General features: G+C 37.1%; 1 protein-coding gene across 5 annotated transcripts in view; it reads right to left on the reverse strand.

Annotated features, from left to right (window-relative positions):
* The window catches only part of CCDC186 (coiled-coil domain containing 186), a 53,359-nt gene that overhangs the window by 11,021 nt on the left and 22,594 nt on the right, over positions 1 to 19,744 (reverse strand). For 4 of the 5 annotated variants that reach the window (NR_135815.1, XM_011539915.4, NM_001321829.1 and 1 more), the window contains 8 exons: positions 19,210 to 19,338; positions 13,667 to 13,879; positions 12,615 to 12,734; positions 5,304 to 5,408; positions 4,266 to 4,364; positions 4,009 to 4,095; positions 3,031 to 3,173; positions 47 to 302 (listed from right to left, as the gene is read on the reverse strand). Coding sequence is in view for 4 of the 5 variants with exons in the window: in XM_011539915.4 (XP_011538217.1) it covers positions 47 to 302; positions 3,031 to 3,173; positions 4,009 to 4,095; positions 4,266 to 4,364; positions 5,304 to 5,408; positions 12,615 to 12,734; positions 13,667 to 13,879; positions 19,210 to 19,338 (1,152 nt within the window). In the remaining variant the exon portion in view is untranslated. Of the gene's footprint in view, positions 1 to 46; positions 637 to 3,030; positions 3,174 to 4,008; positions 4,096 to 4,265; positions 4,365 to 5,303; positions 5,409 to 12,614; positions 12,735 to 13,666; positions 13,880 to 19,209; positions 19,339 to 19,744 lie in introns of those variants that run through there. The other variant, XM_011539916.4, reaches the window with a different exon arrangement.

Raw genomic sequence — 19,744 nt, forward strand, 5'->3', positions numbered from 1 at the left:
TTGTGCTTGTTACGTTGTTTTAAAAAAAATGTAAATTTATACTTACCAAATTAATATTTGTCTGTTTCATTTGTTCACACTGGCTTTGTAACTGACTTTCACTACAGGAAACTTTATCAAATTGTGACTGCAAAGAATTGGATTCAGACTGAAGCTGTGCATTCTTACTAGTGAGCCTTTCTGTAAACAGCAGCAGCTCAGATTCTCTTTTCCTACTGCCTTCGATGTCTTTTTGTAGGTCATTAATCAAAGAATTAAGACTTTCCACTTCTTCTTTCAAATTTTCAATTTCTTGCTTACCTCTAAAACACAAAATTTATATTTAAGAAAAAATAAACCATTAAAAGACATTAAATTAATGGTTTGGGAATTTTCATCTAGTCAAATGCTTAATAAAGGTACTTCTATTCATTCATCCAAATATTTATAAATGCCTAATATATGCCAGGAAATAAGAGCTGGAAAGAAAAGTGAGCAAGACCAACATGGCCTCTGCTTTCAAAGAGCTTTTAGTCAAGTGTGGAAATTATATGTGTAAAAAAACATTTTTTATGATAAAAGCACAGAGTGGGTTTGCCTAAACTAGTGTAAGTGATGCTCAAACTAATACTTGAAGCAGGAGTCAGCAACCTTTTCCTGTAAAAGATCAGATAGTAAATAAGTTAGGCTTCTGGGTCATATGGTTTTGCTGCAATTGTTCCACTCTGCCATTGTACTATGAAAACTGCCACAGATATTACATGAATGAGTGTGGATGTGTTCCAAAAAAACTTCACTTACTAAAAGAGGTAGTGGGCTGGATTTGTTTTGTAAGCCATGGTTGATCCCTGACCTAAAGGCAAAGCAGGAGTTACTGGAGAACAAAATATGCTCCAGGTAAAGGGAACAAACAGTATGTGCTAAAAACTGGGAAGGGAATAAGAGGCTTCTTGTTGGTCCTAACAGATGTTCAATATTGATGAAGAGAAAGACTGTACTATATCCCTAGCACTTAACACAGGGTTTGGGAAATAGGAAACAATCCATAAACATCTGTTAATCAACTACAGCTGAAATACAAGGGTGAAAAAAGGGAAGGCATGGAAGCAGCAAGGGACAGGTCACTAATCTTACAAGCCATGCTAAGGCAATGGAACTCACTAGACAATCTCTGAGGCAGTGGGAAATCAATGAAGAGTTTTGAAATTTCCTTTTAAAAAGGATTATACTAACCATAGTGTGGAAAACAGATTAGAGAGGATATAAGCAGAAAAAATACAAACTGTGGCAGTTTTCCAGGTGAGAGCTGCTAATAGCTTGGACTATGGTAGTAGCAGCAGGGAAGTAAAAAGTGAATGGACTTGACAGATGTTACAGACTTAGCATCACTAATACTTTGTGACTGGTTAGATGTGTGAGGGGAAGGAAAGAAGAGCTGAGGATGGCCCCCAGCCTGCTAAGCTGGACAGTCACATGGATGCTGCACTCATCATTCATCCTAGGAACATGTGAGGAGAAGCATGGGACAGAGAAACCGATTTTGGAAATGCTAAAGTTTGAGGTATCTTTAATACTTGTGCCTGGAGCTTAGTGAAAAGGGCTAAAGATAATGACTCAAAAGTCCTGCAGCATACTATAAAAATAGTTGGGATCACCCAAAGTTACAATAAAATTAGAACAAGAGGGCATTATGAGAGAAAGAGAAGCCTGCCAAGGAGATTGAGAGAGAGTTGCCAAAAAGGTGAGAGGAACATCAGCATGTGATGGAAATGAAGCCAAAGGAACAAGCCTATCAAGAAAGACAACTGAATTCGACAGTGTTAAAAGATGATAAGAATTCAAGCAAGGGTGGGTCTGAAATGTGTCTACCATATGCAGGGATACATCAGTAATTTTTAATAAAATGTTGGGGTAAAAGCTAGAATGAAGTGGAGAGGTACAGAACATAGGAAGTGAGGAAACGGAGAATGAATACAGAAGATTATATAAAGTTTGGCTGCAAAGGAAAGGAGAAAAGCTGGCAGGGCAAAGCCACAGGAGTTTTGATATTTTTAAAAGACAATTATGTTTAAATGTAGAAAGAAAAAGAAAGTGGAGAAAGGTAAGACATAAAGGATAAAGAAGAATAATCAAGACAGAACCCAAAAAGTCAGAAGAGATGAAATCCATAGCGGAAGTAGAAAGACTAATTTGATTCAGAGGAGTTTCTTCCATGATAACAAGATTGTTTCTTCCATGATAACAGCAGAAAATATGGCTGCAGATGCAGGCAGTTCATGGGACTGATGGCAAAACGTTGAGACAACTGTCACCTGACAGCTCCCATTTTTTCTGTGAAGAAGTAAACACTTGCCAAGAGTAAATAGAAAGGTAAGAGGAAAAACTGAAGTGTGAAGAAAATGGTAGGGTTTAGAAAAGATGCTAGAAGATGGTGGAGAACCTCTGACCAAAGACACATGGTAAGATTAGGTGCATTAATATTTCCAGTTCAGGTTAGTGACCATGAATTTATTAGCAGAATCAATCTAAATGATGGTAAGGATTTTTTTAGCAACACTCAGCAGCTTAGTTATCAGCAAGGTGTGGAAAAGAAGCTATCTGGCTTCAAACTGAATCCAGGTTCTGTCTGGTAATGTCACAAGTAGAGTTTACTTAAATGGTTTTATAAGGAGCCAAGGAATAATGTCAGCTCCGGATCTTAAGCTACACACGTGCGAAGATCTAGAGCAAGATTTACCTTTTAGAAGAAAAAGTAAACACTGTGCATAAGTAACAGAATTTGAAAGCTAAGGAATGGATAAGAGACTCAACCTATTCTGTCTTATAAATTGCCACTACCAATGTTTAAGGAATATAAACTTTGATTTTTAGAAGCCATGACAGAACTCAAAAGATAATCCAAAGAAGTTCAGATAAAGAGAAAATATTTAAAAATTTCAGCTAGTAAAATTGTAAAATTTTTTGTTTAATGCAATAACTGCATTTAGAAAATCTTGAAATAAAATTTAAAAGCTTGCTTATTAATACAAACAGAAGTTGCTCATTTTGTACCTTTGAAGCTGCTCCTGTAGCTGATCTGCAGTTTTCACCTTGTCCAATAAATTCTGAATTTCAGCTTTTTGGCGATTAATAATTTCCTTATATTTTGATAATTCATCTTCTGTTCTTAATCGTTCATCTTCTAGACATTTCACCTATCAAATGATCACAACCAAGTTACAAACCATGTATTCTTGTTCTTTATAAACTATTTTGTATAGTGGTTACATATGAATAATCTAAAAATTCTAAAGCACCATTAACGTGAAGAAAATATAATGCGAAGTTTACAATCCTAGCTTTTAGTCTCAGATTTCTTATGATTCAGTCATGGGAGTTTTAGCATGTCATTTCACTTTTTACTGAATCACCATCTCCTCACCTGAAAAAGAATATATCTCCTCTACCTCAAAAAACTGGCAAGAAGAACAAATAAGAAGGTGTATGAAAAACAATTTAAAATTATTAAGTGACCTCAAATTCAGGGTGGTTAAAGGACTACTTCTAAATAAATGAATGATACACATTCATATTCATATTAGAAGACATACTAATCTTACAATAAAGACTATAAACACGAAGAGGACTTAACAGATTATTGGCCATTAAAACTATCCATCTATTAAATATATCCAGGAAAAATATAGCCTTCCTGTTATTTTCTGACACAGTTCTAAGGTCCAACTATCTTTCCAATTGATTCGTTGATGAGACTGCCTTTAGATGAGAAGCCCAAGGATAAGCTATAGACACAGCAAATGTGCTGTGAAATAGTAATGTTTGGCAAACACTTCAAAGGGACTAACATGGAAGACATTTTCCTTTCAACAAAAGAAGTTGCTAGGAAATTGCTCCTCTACTCTACTGAGTTCCTTTATTATGGAACATTTCTATATTAATGTCCTTTCCCCACCACTTTAAAAATCAGAATGAATTCAAAATTTAAGATATTTACCCTTCCTCTGGATTCATGACTAAAGACTGAATTACCTTTGTTCTCAGTGTTCTTAACTCATCCATACCCTCCTTAAATGTTCTCTTCAGATCTTCTAGTTCCTTTATTTTGGCATGATGCATCTTTAAAAAAGTTTAAAAGAAACAACAAATCATAATGTGCTAAACTATATCTAAGATTTATTGCCTGTTCCTTCCAAAAGGCCTTAAAAGTAGATAGCAATAAGTTCTCACTATTTCTCTTTCTGTATTTATTATGCAACTTAGGATATATAAAGAGCAAAACTACTCACCTCTAGCTGGTCAGATTTTTCTTGCATTTGTTTTTCAAGTTCTCCTTTTGTGACTCTAAGCTTTGCATCAAGCTCATTTGATTTAATTTCTTCTGACTCCTAGTGGAAAGAAAACAAAAAAAGTGTGACAATTTTTAACCCATTTCCCGTTTGCCCTGAGAATACTCGTCTCTAATCCTAATGTAGCATCATATACATTTCTGTTACGTTAGGATAAGAGACAAGTTCTGTTTAGAAATAACTCCAAGAACAGTTTTTTTATTTTATCTTCCACTGAAAATCAGTCAGATTTGTTTCATCCTCGAGTGTGTTTATGTAAAATTAAATGAGCGCTGGCAGCAAGCTGCACTTTTTTTCTAAATAGGAAATGGGTTAAAGTTTTATACTTTGAAAAGAAAGCATTGCAATTAAGTTTATTAATTGTGAAATACATAGTATACCTAAAATTATTAACCTAAGTTATTAGGTTATTAACCTAAAGTTATACATTTCCTTGCACTCTTCATTCTTCTGACATTTTCTAGGGTTTTTATTTGTTGGAAAAGTTCTCTTATAAAATCCATTTAAGTTGCAGGTACTTTAACATTGGAAATAACCTGCATTTCATTTAACTGCCTGCCCAACAAAGTACATTCCATATGCAGATGTAGAATATTGCACATATAGAAATTTAATGAAACAAGAGAACTGGCTAGGCACAGTGGTTCATGCCTGTAATCCTAGCACTTTGGGAGACTGAGGCGGGTGGCTCCCGAAGTCAGGAGTTCGAGACCAGCCCAGCCAACATAGTGAAACCCCCTCTCTACTAAAAATACAAAATTTAGCCAGGTGTGGTGGCAGGCACTTGTAATCCCAGCTACTTGGGAGGCTGGGGCAGGAGAATCGCTTGTACCCGGGAGGCAGAGGTTGCAGTGAGCCGAGACTGTGCCATTGAACTCCAGCCCGGGCGACAGAGCGAGACTCCATCTAAAAAAAGAAAAAGAGAGAACTGATATTTGCTAAAATTTGATACTAATCTATTTTAAAAGTTATGCATACCTGATATGTTTTTATCATATCCTGACAGTTTTTTCGTATCTGATCTGCTTCTTCCTTTGCTTGTGTTAATTTTGTTGTTGTTTCTTTGAGTTTATCTTTGGTTTCCTGCATTGACAAAAGACAGAGACACAGTTGGGTACAGCAACGTGATGAATGGTAAGAAGTGACCGGCAAGTAGGAAGGTTCTTGTCCTAGCACTGTCACTGAGGGGCCGATTATTATTCTAGCAATAATATTTTATGTTTCTGACAAAAAATTAAAATGATCTGTAGAGTTAACTAATAGCCATTAAATACAGTTAAATTTGACAGTTTTCAGCAAATTACTAGAAGTTACTAACCTGATAAGATGAGCAAAGTGTTAAGTTCTTTGTACACACACATCAAAGACAATTCTTTGGTTTACGGCTGTGGTATCTATTTAAAACCGTCTTTTGGCCGGACGTGGTGGCTCACGCCTGTAATTCCAGCACTTTGGGAGGTGGAGGCGGGTGGATAACCTAAGATCAGGAACTTGAGACCAGCCTGACCAGCATGGTGAAACCCCGTCTCTACTAAAATAAAAAAATTGGCCAGGCATGGTGGCTCATGCCTGTAATCCCAGCACTTTGGGGGGCTGAGGTGGGCAGATCATCAGAGGTCGGGAGTTTGAGACCAGCCTGACCAACATGGAGAAACCCCGTCTCTATTAAAAATACAAAATTAGCCGGGTGTGGTGGCGCATGCCTGTAACCTCAGATACTCAGGAAGGCTGAAGCAGGAGAATCACTTGAACCCAGGAGGCGGAGGTTGCGGTGAGCCGAAATTGCGCCACTGTACTCCAGCCTGGGCAACAAGAGTGAAACTCGGTCTCAAAAAAAAAAAAAAAAAAAAAAAAAAAAAAAAAAAATAAAAAAAATACACAAATTAGCCAGGCATGGTGGTGGGCACCTGTAATCCCAGCTACTCGGGAGGCTGAGGCAGGAGAATTGTTTGAACCCAGGAGGCAGCAGTTGCAGTGAGCCGAGACTGCACCACTGCACTCCAGCCTGGGAAACAGAGTGAGACTTTGTCACAAAAAAACAAAACAAAACAAAACAAAACAAAACAAAACAAAACATAAAAACTTTTTTTTTTTTTTTTTTTTGGAGACAGCGTCTCATTCTGTCACTCAGGCTTGAGTACAGTGGTGTGATGTCGGCTCATTGCAACCTCCGCCTCCTGGGTTCAAGTGATTCTCCTGCCTCAGCCTCCTGAGTAGCTGGGATTACAAGTATGTGCCACCACATTCAGCTAATTTTTGTATTTTTAGTAGAGATAGGTTTTGGCCAGGCTGGTCTCAAACTCCTGACCTCAGGTGATCCACCTGTCTCAGCCTCCCAAACTGTCTTTTTATAGACTGATGCTGCAATTTGGTTTCTGTTCCTAACCATTCTCCTAAGATGGCAACTCTGAAAGTTTTCAGGGGCTACCCGTATTAAATCCAATTACTTCTTCTTCTTCTTATTCTTTACTTACTTGCTCCGGTTCTGATCACCCCTGACTCTTTCAATATCCTTCCTGTTTCCATTACAGGACAATATTCTCCTTCTCTTTCTGCCCTCTTCATTGTTCCCTGACTGGCTTTTACTTCCTGTGGTGATTTTCCAAGATACAGCCTGGCCATGGAGCTCTTTCTTCATAATTCTCCCTAAGCAAACTGATCCATGGTTTTGCTTATCATGTGGATTTCAAATGGGACTTTTGGTATCATCTCCTCTCAGTAGCTTCCCTTCAGAAAAAAGGCAGATCAGATGCCGCCTACTCTGCTTTTCCATAGATATAATTTAGGCATGCCCTGGATTCTAATGATCAATACATTATACTATAGCTTATATGTTCCCCTAATACAGCATATAGCTTCTCGATAGCGACTAACTCAATACTTGCCACATATTAATTGTTCGACTACTATCTGTTGAATTAATACAGGAATATCTAATATAAGCCTCTAGTTAGGTTGGGTTCCCCAAATACCCAATACTCATCTCCCTTTGTTCCTTTTTTTTTTTTTTGCTGTTCCTCCACATGGGAATGCCTTTCCCTGCATCTCTTGAACCATCTAAATTGCATTAATAGGCCAGGTGCAGTGGCTCATGCTTGTAATCCCAGCATTTTGGGAGGCCGAGGCAGATGGATCACCTGAGGTCAGGAGTTGAAGACCAACCCTGCCAACATGGCAAAACCCAGTCTCTACTAAAAATACAAAAATTAGCCGGGTGTGGTGGTGCATGCCTCTAATCCCAGCTACTCAGGAGGCTGAGGCAGAAGAATCGCTTGACCCTGGGAGGCAGAGGTTGCAGTGAGCCAAGATCGCACCACTGCACTCCAGCCTAGGCAACAGAGCAAGACTCCATCTCAAAAAAAAAAAAGAAAAGAAAAAAAAACAAAAATAAACTGTTTCTTACATGTCATTAAAAAAAATAAATCTACCATGTAAGTACTGAAAGTTATATATTTTCAGTTGCTAGTTTTTAATAATAATTTGACTTGTATTAAAACTTAGTACCACTTTTAAAATATAAGCAATTATTTATTTTTTCAAATATTGACTTTTTAAAATACTAGACTCAATGGACAGGGAGGGAGAAAAAGAGACAGAGAGAAGGAACTTTATATATGTTTTTCTACTACTATATCATTAATAACTAAAAAGAGCCTGGCACATAGTAAGCACTTCATTCGCTCAAAAAATAGCAATTGAGAGATTCCCATATGCCAAATAAATATTTATTAAATAAATGAGTAAGGGAAAAGTGAGAATCACATTAAATGTTTTGGTTAAGGTATTGACTGTGTTTCACTTATTCATTCATTCAGTATTCACTGGGCATCTATGCACCAGGCATTGTTCTATGCTCCAGGGACATACTGTATAAGAAAACAAACATAATCTCACCTTCATGAAGCTCATATTCTAGTAATGGAGACACTAAATACAATACATAAGTAAAACATACTAGTAGCAAGTGCTAAGGAATAAAAATAAAGCAAGGACATGAGAAAGTCCGGATAGAATGAAAGTTTGGAGAGATGAAAGTTTAGATAGAATACCTGGGGAAAGTCTCATTGAGAAGGTGCTAGGTGAGTACAGACTAAAAAGACATGAGCAAGAAGATCTGCTGAAGGACTGGATATGCTAACTGAGAAATTAAGGATAAATCCAAGGCTTTTGGCCTGAGCAATGAGATGGAATGAGATGGATGGATTGTCATTTATTGACATAGGAAAGCAATGGAGGAAAGGGTACATTTTTAGTTCAATTTTAGACATGTTAAGTTTAAGATGCCTTAAGTCATCCAAGATGTCGTATGTCAAATAAGCAGCTAAATATATGAATCTGGAGTTGCCTTAAGTCGTTCAAGATGTTGGATGTCAAATAAGCAGCTAAATATATGAATCTGGAGTTCTGGGTAGAAGTTGTAAATCTGGGAGTCACTAGCATATAGTTTTCTACTCCTATGTTTTCAAGTACACTAATCTTGTCCTCTGCAGTTTTTAATCTGCTATTAATTCCATCCAATGTATTTTTCAGTTCAGACATTATGTCAATCTGTTTTTTTTCTCTTTCATGTCTCTCCTTATCATACTCATGCTTTTGTCTATCTCCTTGGACATATGGAATGTATTTATAAGAGCTGCTTTAACATCATTGCCTCATTGTCTACTAATTCTATTATTTATGTCATTTCTGAATCTTTTTTTTTTTTAAGACACAGGACAGGATCTTGCTGTGTTGCCCAGGCTGGAGTGCAGTGGCATGATCATAGCTTCAACTCCTGGGCTCAAGTGATCCTCCCATCTCAGCCTCCCAAGTGGCTAGGACTACAGGCATACACCACCACACCTGGCTAATTTTTAAAGTTCTTTGTGTAGAGATGGGGACCTCGCTATGTTGCCCAGGCTGGTCTCAAACTCCTGACCTCAAGCAATCCTCCCACCTCAGCCTCCCCAAGTGCTAGAATTACAGGTGTGAGACACCGTGCCTGGATCTGTTCCTACTGATCTAGTGTTCCTTCCTTCTCATGATGGGCTCCATTTTCCTGCCTCTTTGCATGCCTGGTAATTTTTGACTGGATGCCAAACACAGTAAATTTATGCTTTTAGGTGCCAGAGTTCTTCGTAGTCATTTAAATATTTTGGGCCTTTGTTTTGGGACATAGTAAATTTACTTGAAACAAATTATTTGAAGCTTGCTTTTAAAGTTTTGTTAAGGCAGATTTATAACAGACTTAATCTAAGGCAAATTCATCCTCACAACTAAAGCAATAACCTTCTGGGGGCTGCTTGATGCAGCCCTGCCTGATGTGTGTTGAGAGGTCATTTCTCTTTGACTGATGGAAACATGAACAATTTCCTAGCCTTGTGGGAGCTCTAGGGATTGTTGCCCCTATTTCTTCCCCCTCCTCTGTAGTTTCCTCTCTTAACACACACACACACACGCACGCACACACATACACGCACGCACGCACACATGTACTGATCAGTAGTCAGCTGAAGACTTGAAGGGAACTCACTGCACATTGTTGTATTTTTCTCTTTTCTGGGACTCTGCCTTGGTTCCCCATATTTTGAACTCTATCTCCTCAATTCAGGTAGACTGCTGGGCTGTCCAGGTTCTTCTTGTTCTGCAGACTGGAACTCTCCAGGAATACCTCATTTGTTTCCCTTCACTCAGAGATCACTGTCCTATGCTGCCTGTTGTCTCAAGTCTGAAAGCCTTCATTTCATATATTTTGTCTTTTGTTTTTTAAGGTAGAAGGGTAAATTTGGACCTTGTTATTCCATAATACAATATAGTCAATAGAATACAGTTATAGAACACTACAGTTATAGAACATAGAATATAGTTTTATTAAGTGAGATAAAATGGCAAAGCAAATAAGAAGCCCATTCTGGCTTCTAATGACTGGGCCTTCTGAGTAAACAAACCATTTAAGAATGACACTATCACTGACAACACGACAGCCTCGGGAGAAGAGCTTATTAAGCAACAGTCTTACCTCGGGTGACCTAGTGTACAGAACATATCATAAAATACACCAAGCCCTTGTCACACATTAGGCCTGTACTATATTACCATCTACAACCTCCTGCTGGTCTAGCTTCTGGGTCCAAGAATATTCTTCTAGCTTTCTCTGAAGCAGTTATGTCTGGCAAGCACCCAGCATAGTCAAACCATGGCAGCCAAAGAACCACAGCCACATCTATTGCTAGCCGTATATACGTTCAGTGAGATTATCTCATCCTGATATCAGGTAGGTGAATAAGTAGCAACCAGGTAGGCAAACAAGTAGATGAGGTACACTGGGGGAAATTCATCTTTATTTACTGTACTCCAAATAAAAGGCTTCTGTTTTTACAGGCTAGGTGTTTAAAACACATTTTCAGTTAAATCCCAAAGGAGTTTAGGGAAGGAAACAAATTGTTTCTCTTGGGTAGTCTGATGATCTGGGTAGCCAGCCCACCTACTCTTAAGTTCTGGTAATATGCACTGGGGGTCTGACCAGAAGCTACTGATCACAATGGATCCAGTAAGCTACAGGACTGCAGTATTATTAGTACCTAAGACTTGGTGGGCAGGAACCAGAAACCAGAAAGGGTGCCTCAAGAAAAATTTACTAAGTGTCTCGTGTCTCTTGCCCACATCTCAAGAGGTAGACTATAATAACCACATGATTATTAAATCTTGTATCCTTTGATCCAGGGACTCCTTCCAACATCCAATAGGTAAATACATAAAACAAGTAACCGGGAGCCCATCTTGGACACTCTTTGAAAGTAACGACTGTGTCTCCTAAGGCTTTTATAGCCTCCAAGTTATCTAATACAGTGTTATGCACAAAGCTTGCTGGTTAATAAATGCCTTTAGTTAAAAAGAACTAGTGAATTTCTACATACCAAGTCAATATGCTTGTTCATTTTCTAGCAATCTGCACCATGTAACCTTACAGAAGTCAGCCTTAAATCACCTCTCTAACCTATTTACAGACTACCTGGTTTCATCTGAGCTCAAAGCTGCCATTAAGATCTCTTACACAGATCTGTAACAGTTCTTTTGTTCCTAAGTGCTAGTATTCTAACAGGTTTCAGGAGCCTGTCTCTTAGCACTCTGGATGAAGATGAGGAAAGTACCACAGATATCAGACATGACCAAGTATGATGTTCTGATCTTGAAGCAACTCAGGTAGTTGAGAATCATTACTGTTTTTATGAATTTGGAATTTCAATTCCTCATTCTGTAACTCAAAGTAAAGAGAAAATTTAGATGGCTTAGCCGTGTTGAGCTCCAGAGACTGTCATCCTCCTCCTTTCTGAAAATTCTTTCTCTGCCTTGGCAGTTCCCTCACACATGTGCTGATTAGTAGGTCAGCTTCAGACTTGAGGGAAACCCACTATTCTCTAATCTACCTTTGACCACTGTCAACAGAGACTATTCCTCCTACAGTTTTCTCTGATAATGCTATATCAGAGAATACAATATAACCAAGGGTTATTAGCAGTTCTACTGATTTAGAACTATTTAATGCGGTAATCCACGATTATGATTTTAACCAATATCATTAAGACTGTTTGTGAAAACCTGGAAACTGATATTTTCATAAACTTACACTTCTTAAGTCACAATTCAGAGTTGTTCTTTTACTTCACATTCTATCATCTTCAGATTTTTATTACCTCTAATATCAGCTCAGTTAGTGCTTAAAATTACGGCATCAGGTATCAGCCTTTATAATTACTTATATTAGCTTTTTAATAAAATTATATTCACTAGGCACAATACCAATGGAGTCATATTTATAAAAAAGTTAAGGCAACTTATTCTTAAAATCTTTATATTATATTTAAATAAGAATGTATATTTTTTGAGTATAAAATCTTAGCATCATTGATTTTTTAAAATTTCTAGAGTTTACATTCAAATTTGGAAACTTACACATTCTCCCCCGTCCAATTTCTCAGTGTTATTTAAATTTTGCATATCAAAAAATGCTTAAAGAACAGGGCAAATTTGGGTGTTGCAAACTATGAATAGTAAAATTTAACATCCCACCCCATTTAATATGTAAATAATGTGAGGACATTTCTTTTTCATAATCACCAAATATTCAGGTCCAAACTAACTTGCAGGTCACTAAACTAAGCTTCATGCCTCATTAACTGTTATTGCATTTGCTCTTAAAACTCATTCTAATCTGAAAGAGCGAGACTCCGTCTCAAAAAAAAAACAAAAACAAAAACAAAAACAAAAAAACTCATTCTAATCATTATTCCATTGTATTACAGTACGTACCTTGTGTGAATCCATTTCAGCTTTTAATTTGTTTTGTGCCCACTTTACTTTGATGACGTGAGAGTTAATGTCTTCCTTTAATTTGTCTATTTCTCTGATGAGTCTAGTCGTTTCGCCTTCCTAAAATAATATCACTAGGTCATATATTTTCATTTATAGAATCAATTAATTATATCTTTTATATTCCCCACAAAGTAATCAGTCCAGTAACACTATAATCAAGGGCTGGCACACTATAGCCCACAGACTATAAAACTTATTTAAAGTCCAAATGAGAAGAGGGTAGTAAAATCCTAAATCCAATTAATAGACACAAAGATGATTTACATTTACATTTTAACCAATTGGATGTATTGTCAACACAACATATCTTTATGATTCTTAACTGGCTGGCATTAAGGTGAAATATGAACTAAATTGGTTTTGTCAGAATTCCTGAGAACAATGACAATATTCCTGAACTAAAAGCTAATGAATTAAAAAAAAATTTATCATTGAAAAATGATAATGCCCTGGAAATATGACCATTGAGAGGCTGCTAGTTAACAGGAAGGGTTCTGAATAGCTGGCTCAGTAACTAAATCTCTTTAGATAGTATCTAAGAAAGACATGTTTTTCTGTAAGAAAAACATAAATTTTCTTCTATGGTGATGTGTTATATTAAGATTATATCAAATTATACTTCTGGTTCTAAAACTATTCATTTTACACTACTATATACATATTTTACCAAAATATAATCTTCCCTTGAGATGCAAATTTCTCCAACATACAGATTTTAAAAGAAAGTTTTTAGAAAGCTCAAGAAAAAGTTATCTAATAAACAACATGTGCCAACACTTATTTTTTCCCTAGCAAACCTTTTCTCTGCAGACAAGTAATAGAACACTTGAATTACTAAAAAATTCATGGTTTTAGAAGGTAAACTAATAAAAACAACTTTACGTTTGAGTGTTAACCATGTTAAATTATGATTATTTGATTAAATATGGAAAAGCAAAGAGAACAAATTTCAAATAAGGTCAACATATTTCAAATGGCACAAGTTATACCTTAGTTTCATACAGCTGGTGCAACCGTCCTTTCTCCTGAGAAAGCTGCTTAATTTTGTTAGTGTTTTTCTCAAGTTCCTTATTTGCATCTCTAAGTTTTTTCTCAAGTGTCTCTTTTTCCTTTCGAAGATCTAAAGATTCCTTCTCACCTCTTACATATTTCATTACCATTGCTTCTTTTTCTTGGCGTGCCTCTTCACATTTCTTGTTGGCCTTCAAAAAAAATATTACTTAGCATTAATGAAAAATAATGTTTCAAATGGAAATGTATTGAAATACATGGTATTTGTCTCTTATATTACCAATGCATTGTTTGGTTTTTGCACAACATTCCCAGGACTTGTGCCATGAAATTTTAAAATGAAAGAAAAAATTTAAAATTATAGAAAAATGGTACAATATCCCTAGCATTTGCCTTTACCCTTTCCTGTTCCTTTTACTTCGGCTAATATGGTTGCTATTTTCCACGTACTCCTCCAGATCCCCTTTCCCACTTTTTTTAAATCCCAACTGGTGTCCCAGGAACATGATGACATCATGAACCCTATCAATAAGCTCTCTTGCCCTCAAACTTCCAGTTGGGTTCACCCAACAGAAGGCAGTAGGCAGAAGCTTGGGAACGTAGGCAGAGTGAGATCTGGCTCCTCCAGAGTTCCCACAGGTTGGCTGATGGCCACTCCCCTTGTCAGGTGCCCTCTCTATACAACTACCCTCTGGGGTGTAATACCTGCTCCTTGTCCAGCAGCCCTGAAATTCTGCATCTTCCCTTTTTGGGATCCCTACATCTTGTCCACACCTTGACAAAGAATCTTTTTATTAAATTATCTTCATCACCGGTTTAAGTGTGCCATCTGTTTTCTGCCAGGACCCTGACTGTATAGCCGACAATTTCTAAAATCTTAACTCCCTTTCGAAAATTAAGTAGCCATATGCTAACAAATGACCATTTAATTTCCTATTTATGTAAAGCTTTCTGAAGCATTTTACACTTAATAAGAAATACCTAACTGGATTAAGTATGAAAACTATATACTCATTTAAAAATTTTCTATTAGTATGAACTGGTACTCCATATTCTGAAATTTCACAGAATGAAAACTTCTACAAATAGTCCTTCTTTGAAGTAACTCATGGTTTGCAAATATGGTGAAGCACACATTTAATTTACAAAAGATAGAACTTCAAACTTTAGGAATTTTCAATATCTTTTAGTGGTAAATAAACACTGATGATGCAACTGAATTGAAGAAGGTAACTATTAAAATAAAGTGAGCAGAATGTAGGGAAAGCTTCTATGCTTTGATGAAAAATGGCTGCAAAAATGTTTCATAAAATTCTGGCACTGCTGATAAGCACATCTAGTCAACACTGAGAATGCTATACATACACATATAAGTAATTTTAAAAATCTCCCAATTGGGATTTGTTTCCATTGAAATAGTCATACTAATTTTCAAATTAAGAAAGACATTGCATTAGGGATATGATAGGCCCCGAGGTTGTAACAATGTGCTTGTAGACAAAGACTGAGAAAGTTATGCTGGACTTGGCCAACAGAATTAGATTTTTAGACAACTGAATATCTGTACTTAGAAAAAGTCAATAGCTCAATGTCAACTTTAAGAGAAGTCTGGTTTCATAATAATTTAATATTCAGATAATGTATCATCTATTGGAAACAAAGTAGCAGTTGTGGCCTCTGAAAGAGCTCACCATCTAGTGAGAAAGGCATATAAACAAACATTATAATATGAAAAATTATAGTAAATGAATGTACAAAGTCCTTCAAAACATGAAAATACTTACATCCCCTGGGAGGAGTTGGCAGGAAGGGTAAAAGATGCTATACTTGAGCTAGGTATTAAAGGCTAAGCAGAATTCTATAGAATGTAAGGGGTGAATCAAGGAAAGGAATTAAAAATAGAGTGAATATCATGTGCAAACACCTAAAAGTATAAAACAGCATGACACATTTAGGAGATATCAAGTTATTTTATTGGGCTTAAATTTGGTGTGTTGGCTGGAGTGGGAAGAAAGTAGTTATAAAAACAAAAAGAGGTATAGATTAGATCCTCAAAGGAAGAAGAATTTCTGTCATGGTAATAAGTTGAGGTTTTATTCCATAGTCAACATAAAGCCAAAGAAGAATTTATAAATCAGAAGCTCTTATTAAAATGTGTGTTTTAGTAAGATAACTGGTAGCAGCATGGGAGCTTCACTGAAGTTGAGAGATAGGGGGTAGAAAATAATCAAAAAAAGACAGTTGTAATAGACAAGGTGAAATATTATGAGGGTCTTGGCTGGATGCAAGGAGTCATGCCTGTAATCCCAGCACTTTGGGAGACTGAGGTGAGCAGATCGCCTGAGCCCAGGAGTTTGAGACCAGCCTGGACAACATGGCAAAATCCCCTATCTACAAAAAAAACAAAAAACAAAATTAGCTGGGCATGGTGGTGTGCACCTGTAGTCCCAGCTATTTGGGAGGGCTAAGGTGGGAGGTCTCTTGAGCCCAGGAGGTTGAGGCTGCAGTTAGCCATGATTGCACCATTGCACTCCAGCCTGGGCAACAGACCCTGTCTCAAAAAAAATAAACGGAAAATATTATGAGAGTCTTCACTATAGCAGGGAATGGCGCACCAGATAACGGCTCTGTTACTCATGGGGTCATCCATAGATCAACTGCAAAGGAATAACCTGGGGTGCTTGTTAAAAGTTCACACTCCTGGATCCTGCCCCATCCTGCTAATGGCAGCACCTACCTCACAGCATCATTGGGAGTATTAAACAAGACAATACAATAACTGTTATTTAAGCTATTATAGAAGGTCCATTTATGGCACAGATAAAGGAAGACAGGCCAATTAAGGTCTTTGGATTTATCCACTGTAAGTAAGATGATTATCATTGACTTGGATAAAGATAAGTAAAACATGAATAAGATAATCAATAGGACTCAACAGATAAAATTAACACAAAGTATATGAAGTGTAGCTTCTACAAGTATGGCAGATAAACCCTCCTCATTCAATACACCAAAAATTTTAGATGAAAAATAACAAACATCTTTTAATATATAGTTGAGCTCACAAGAAAGTATGGGAAATTTCCAGGGCTAAAAGATCTAAGACAAAGTAGAAATCCAGAATGGTATACTAGGGCTAAAACCTTTACTGCTCTGTGATACTTATTAATATCAGGCCATGGGAGATGTGGGTGGGGGAAATGTTATCAAGTCCCTGAAAATTTATAATACAGCTACACTCTCTTGTAAGTAGGGTTCAAATTCATTCTATCTATCTGGTCTATGAAATGAGGAAACCTCAATCTGGAAATTAAAAAGCAGGTGAATGTGCGTGTGCACATGAACATGGGTAAACACATATGGGAACCTATTTTTAAACAAAACTTACTAGGCTTAGTGACAATAGATGAAAGATAAACAAGTGTTCATTTTACTAATCTTTCATCTTTTCTATATGCTTGAAAATTCTCAAAAAGTTGGGAGGAAAAGTTAGGGGGAAAAAAGGAATGAGACAGATCTATTAATAATTAAATAGATCAGTCTTCCAAAATCTACTTTAATAATATCCACTTCTTAGGGTTGTTGTGAAGATCAAACAAGTTAACACTTGTAAAGTATTTTGAACATGGCTTTGCACACAGCTAAAAGTCAGTACATCAGCTACTATTATTAGCATCATCTACACTCTTCATCATTAAGGAGAAAACATACATAGCAGTGAGTGCAGTACATTGCCATTTGTTTTTTAAAAGCCAGGGGAGGAAAAAAGAAAAAAACACAAGAATCTATGCAACAAATATTTTTGGAAGGATACACAGGAAACTGGCATCAGTGGTTACCTTTAGGAAGGGGGTAAAATGTTTGGAAGAAGACTTTTTCAAATGTTTGAACTGCTACCATGTACACCAACTACTATTTTATTTTAAATATTAAGCTTCGAAGAGTTTTAGGAAGGAAGGAAGGAAAGGGAAGGGAAGGGAAGGGAAGGAAAGGAAAGGGAAGGGAAGGGAAGGGAAGGGAAGGGAAGGGAAGGGAAGGGAAGGGAAGGGAAGGAAAGGGAGGGGAGGGGAGGGAATGCGAAGGAAGGAAGGAAGGAAAGGAGGGAAGGAGGGAGGAAAGAAAAGAATGGAATGGAAGGAAAGGGAGGAAGGGAGGAAGGGACGAAGGAAGGAAGGCAGGAAGGCAGGAAGGAAGGAAGGAAGGAAGGCAGGAAGGCAGGAAGGAAGGAAGGAAGGAAGGAAGGAAGGCAGGAAGGCAGGAAGGCAGGAAGGCAGGCAGGCAGGCAGGAAGGCAGGCAGGCAGGCAGGTTGGCTCACCAGGTGATTCTAATGACTGGCTGGCTATGTTTGGGCCCGCTAAAACCAGTTACTTCTTAAGCTCTTAGGCTCTGTATTTCCCTTCAATTGGTACAAAAGGGTTCAGAACTGATAGCAGGAGAGTTAAACATAACATTTCTAATGCAAGGAGTCAGCATGTTTTAAAGAATCATCCAAATAAAGGCTGAGGATAATCTGTTTCCTAAAGTCCTTCCAGAATGCCATCTACAGTAGCAGCTTCGGGGTAGAAAGGGTGGGATCCATCACATTCAAATAATGAAGGTGTGAGTTAACCCTTTCAGATTCAATTCATTGTGAAGACTAATTGTTAGTCAGATACTGTGCTAGGTTTTGTGGATACAGAAATGAAGATGACAAAGACGTCATCCATAAAGAGTTCAGGCAAGTAATAAAAAAGCACTGCTTAAAATTACCTCTTCTGAGATCATATATACCAACTTAAAAAGATTACCAAGGTATATTAAGTATGGGAAAAAAGGTTACAAAAAAGATGTATAGTATCATTCCAATCAAATGGGGGAAAAAAGTATATGACCATGTACAAATAAACATGTGTGACTTGTACATGTATATGTAGTAAGATACATAATCAAAATACCAATAATTAGCTATGGAACAAGGAATGGGATATAAAAGGATTGTAGGCAGGGGAAGAATATGTACAGATTAAAAAAAAAATTTTTATTCCATACACTTTTTTATTCATCTGTATGTATTTATATATTGCTTTAGAATTTTTAATGACTTACTATTTTTTTTTAGACAGAGTCTTGCTTTGTCACCCAGGCTGGAGTGCAGCAGTGCAATCTCGGCTCACTGCAACCTCCGCCTCCCGGGTTCAAGTGATTCTCCTGCCTCAGCCTCCCAAGTAGCTGGGACTACAGGGATGCGCCACCACGTCTGGCTAAACTTTTCGTATTTTTAGTAGAGATGGGGTTTCACCATGTTAGCCAGGCTGGTCTCAAACTCCTGACCTCAGGCAATCTGCCTGCCTCAGCCTCTGAAAGTGCTGGGATTACAGATGTGAGTCACCACGTCTGGCCTAATGGCTTACTTTTATATAAAAGAATCACCTAGTATTAATACAATAGTGAGGTCCAAAATAGTCTAACAGTGTTAGCTTATTTTAACAAACAAGAGTCACCAGAATATCAAGTTAATAATGACAACGATGTGAGAAATACCTGTTCCATCCGTTGGGCCATCTCTTTGTGTAACTGCTGAACTGCATTTTTAGCTGTAACGTCTTGAGCTATTAGTTGATCTCTGGAAGCTTTAACTTCTTTATTAAGTTCTTCTATTCTTGATTCTAACTGTAAAGAAAATTATTTCCAAATTATTTTTATAGCTATACCAAATACACCACCAATACTGCAAATAAATATAAACAAAGTAAATAAACATAAAGAATACAATGAATATACTTCAGCTATTGAAATAAAAACTTTTAGCAATGTTTCTATATCTCACTGTCATTTAGTAAAAATCTGGAGATTCCATTAAGTTAAGGTATCTGGCAACCCCTAGAACATCCACAAAGGAATAACACAAAGAAATACAGTAGAGTCCCGCCTTATCTGTGGCTTCACTTTCTATGGTTTCAGCAACCTTCAGTCACCCACAGTTCAAAAATATTAAATAAAAACTTCCAGAAATAATTCACAAGTTTTCAATTGCATGCCATTCTGAGTAGTGTGATGAAAACTTGTGTTGTCTCAC

Source organism: Homo sapiens, chromosome 10 (genome assembly GCF_000001405.40).
Source record: "Homo sapiens chromosome 10, GRCh38.p14 Primary Assembly".
In the NCBI taxonomy this organism is placed as follows: domain Eukaryota; kingdom Metazoa; phylum Chordata; class Mammalia; order Primates; family Hominidae; genus Homo; species Homo sapiens.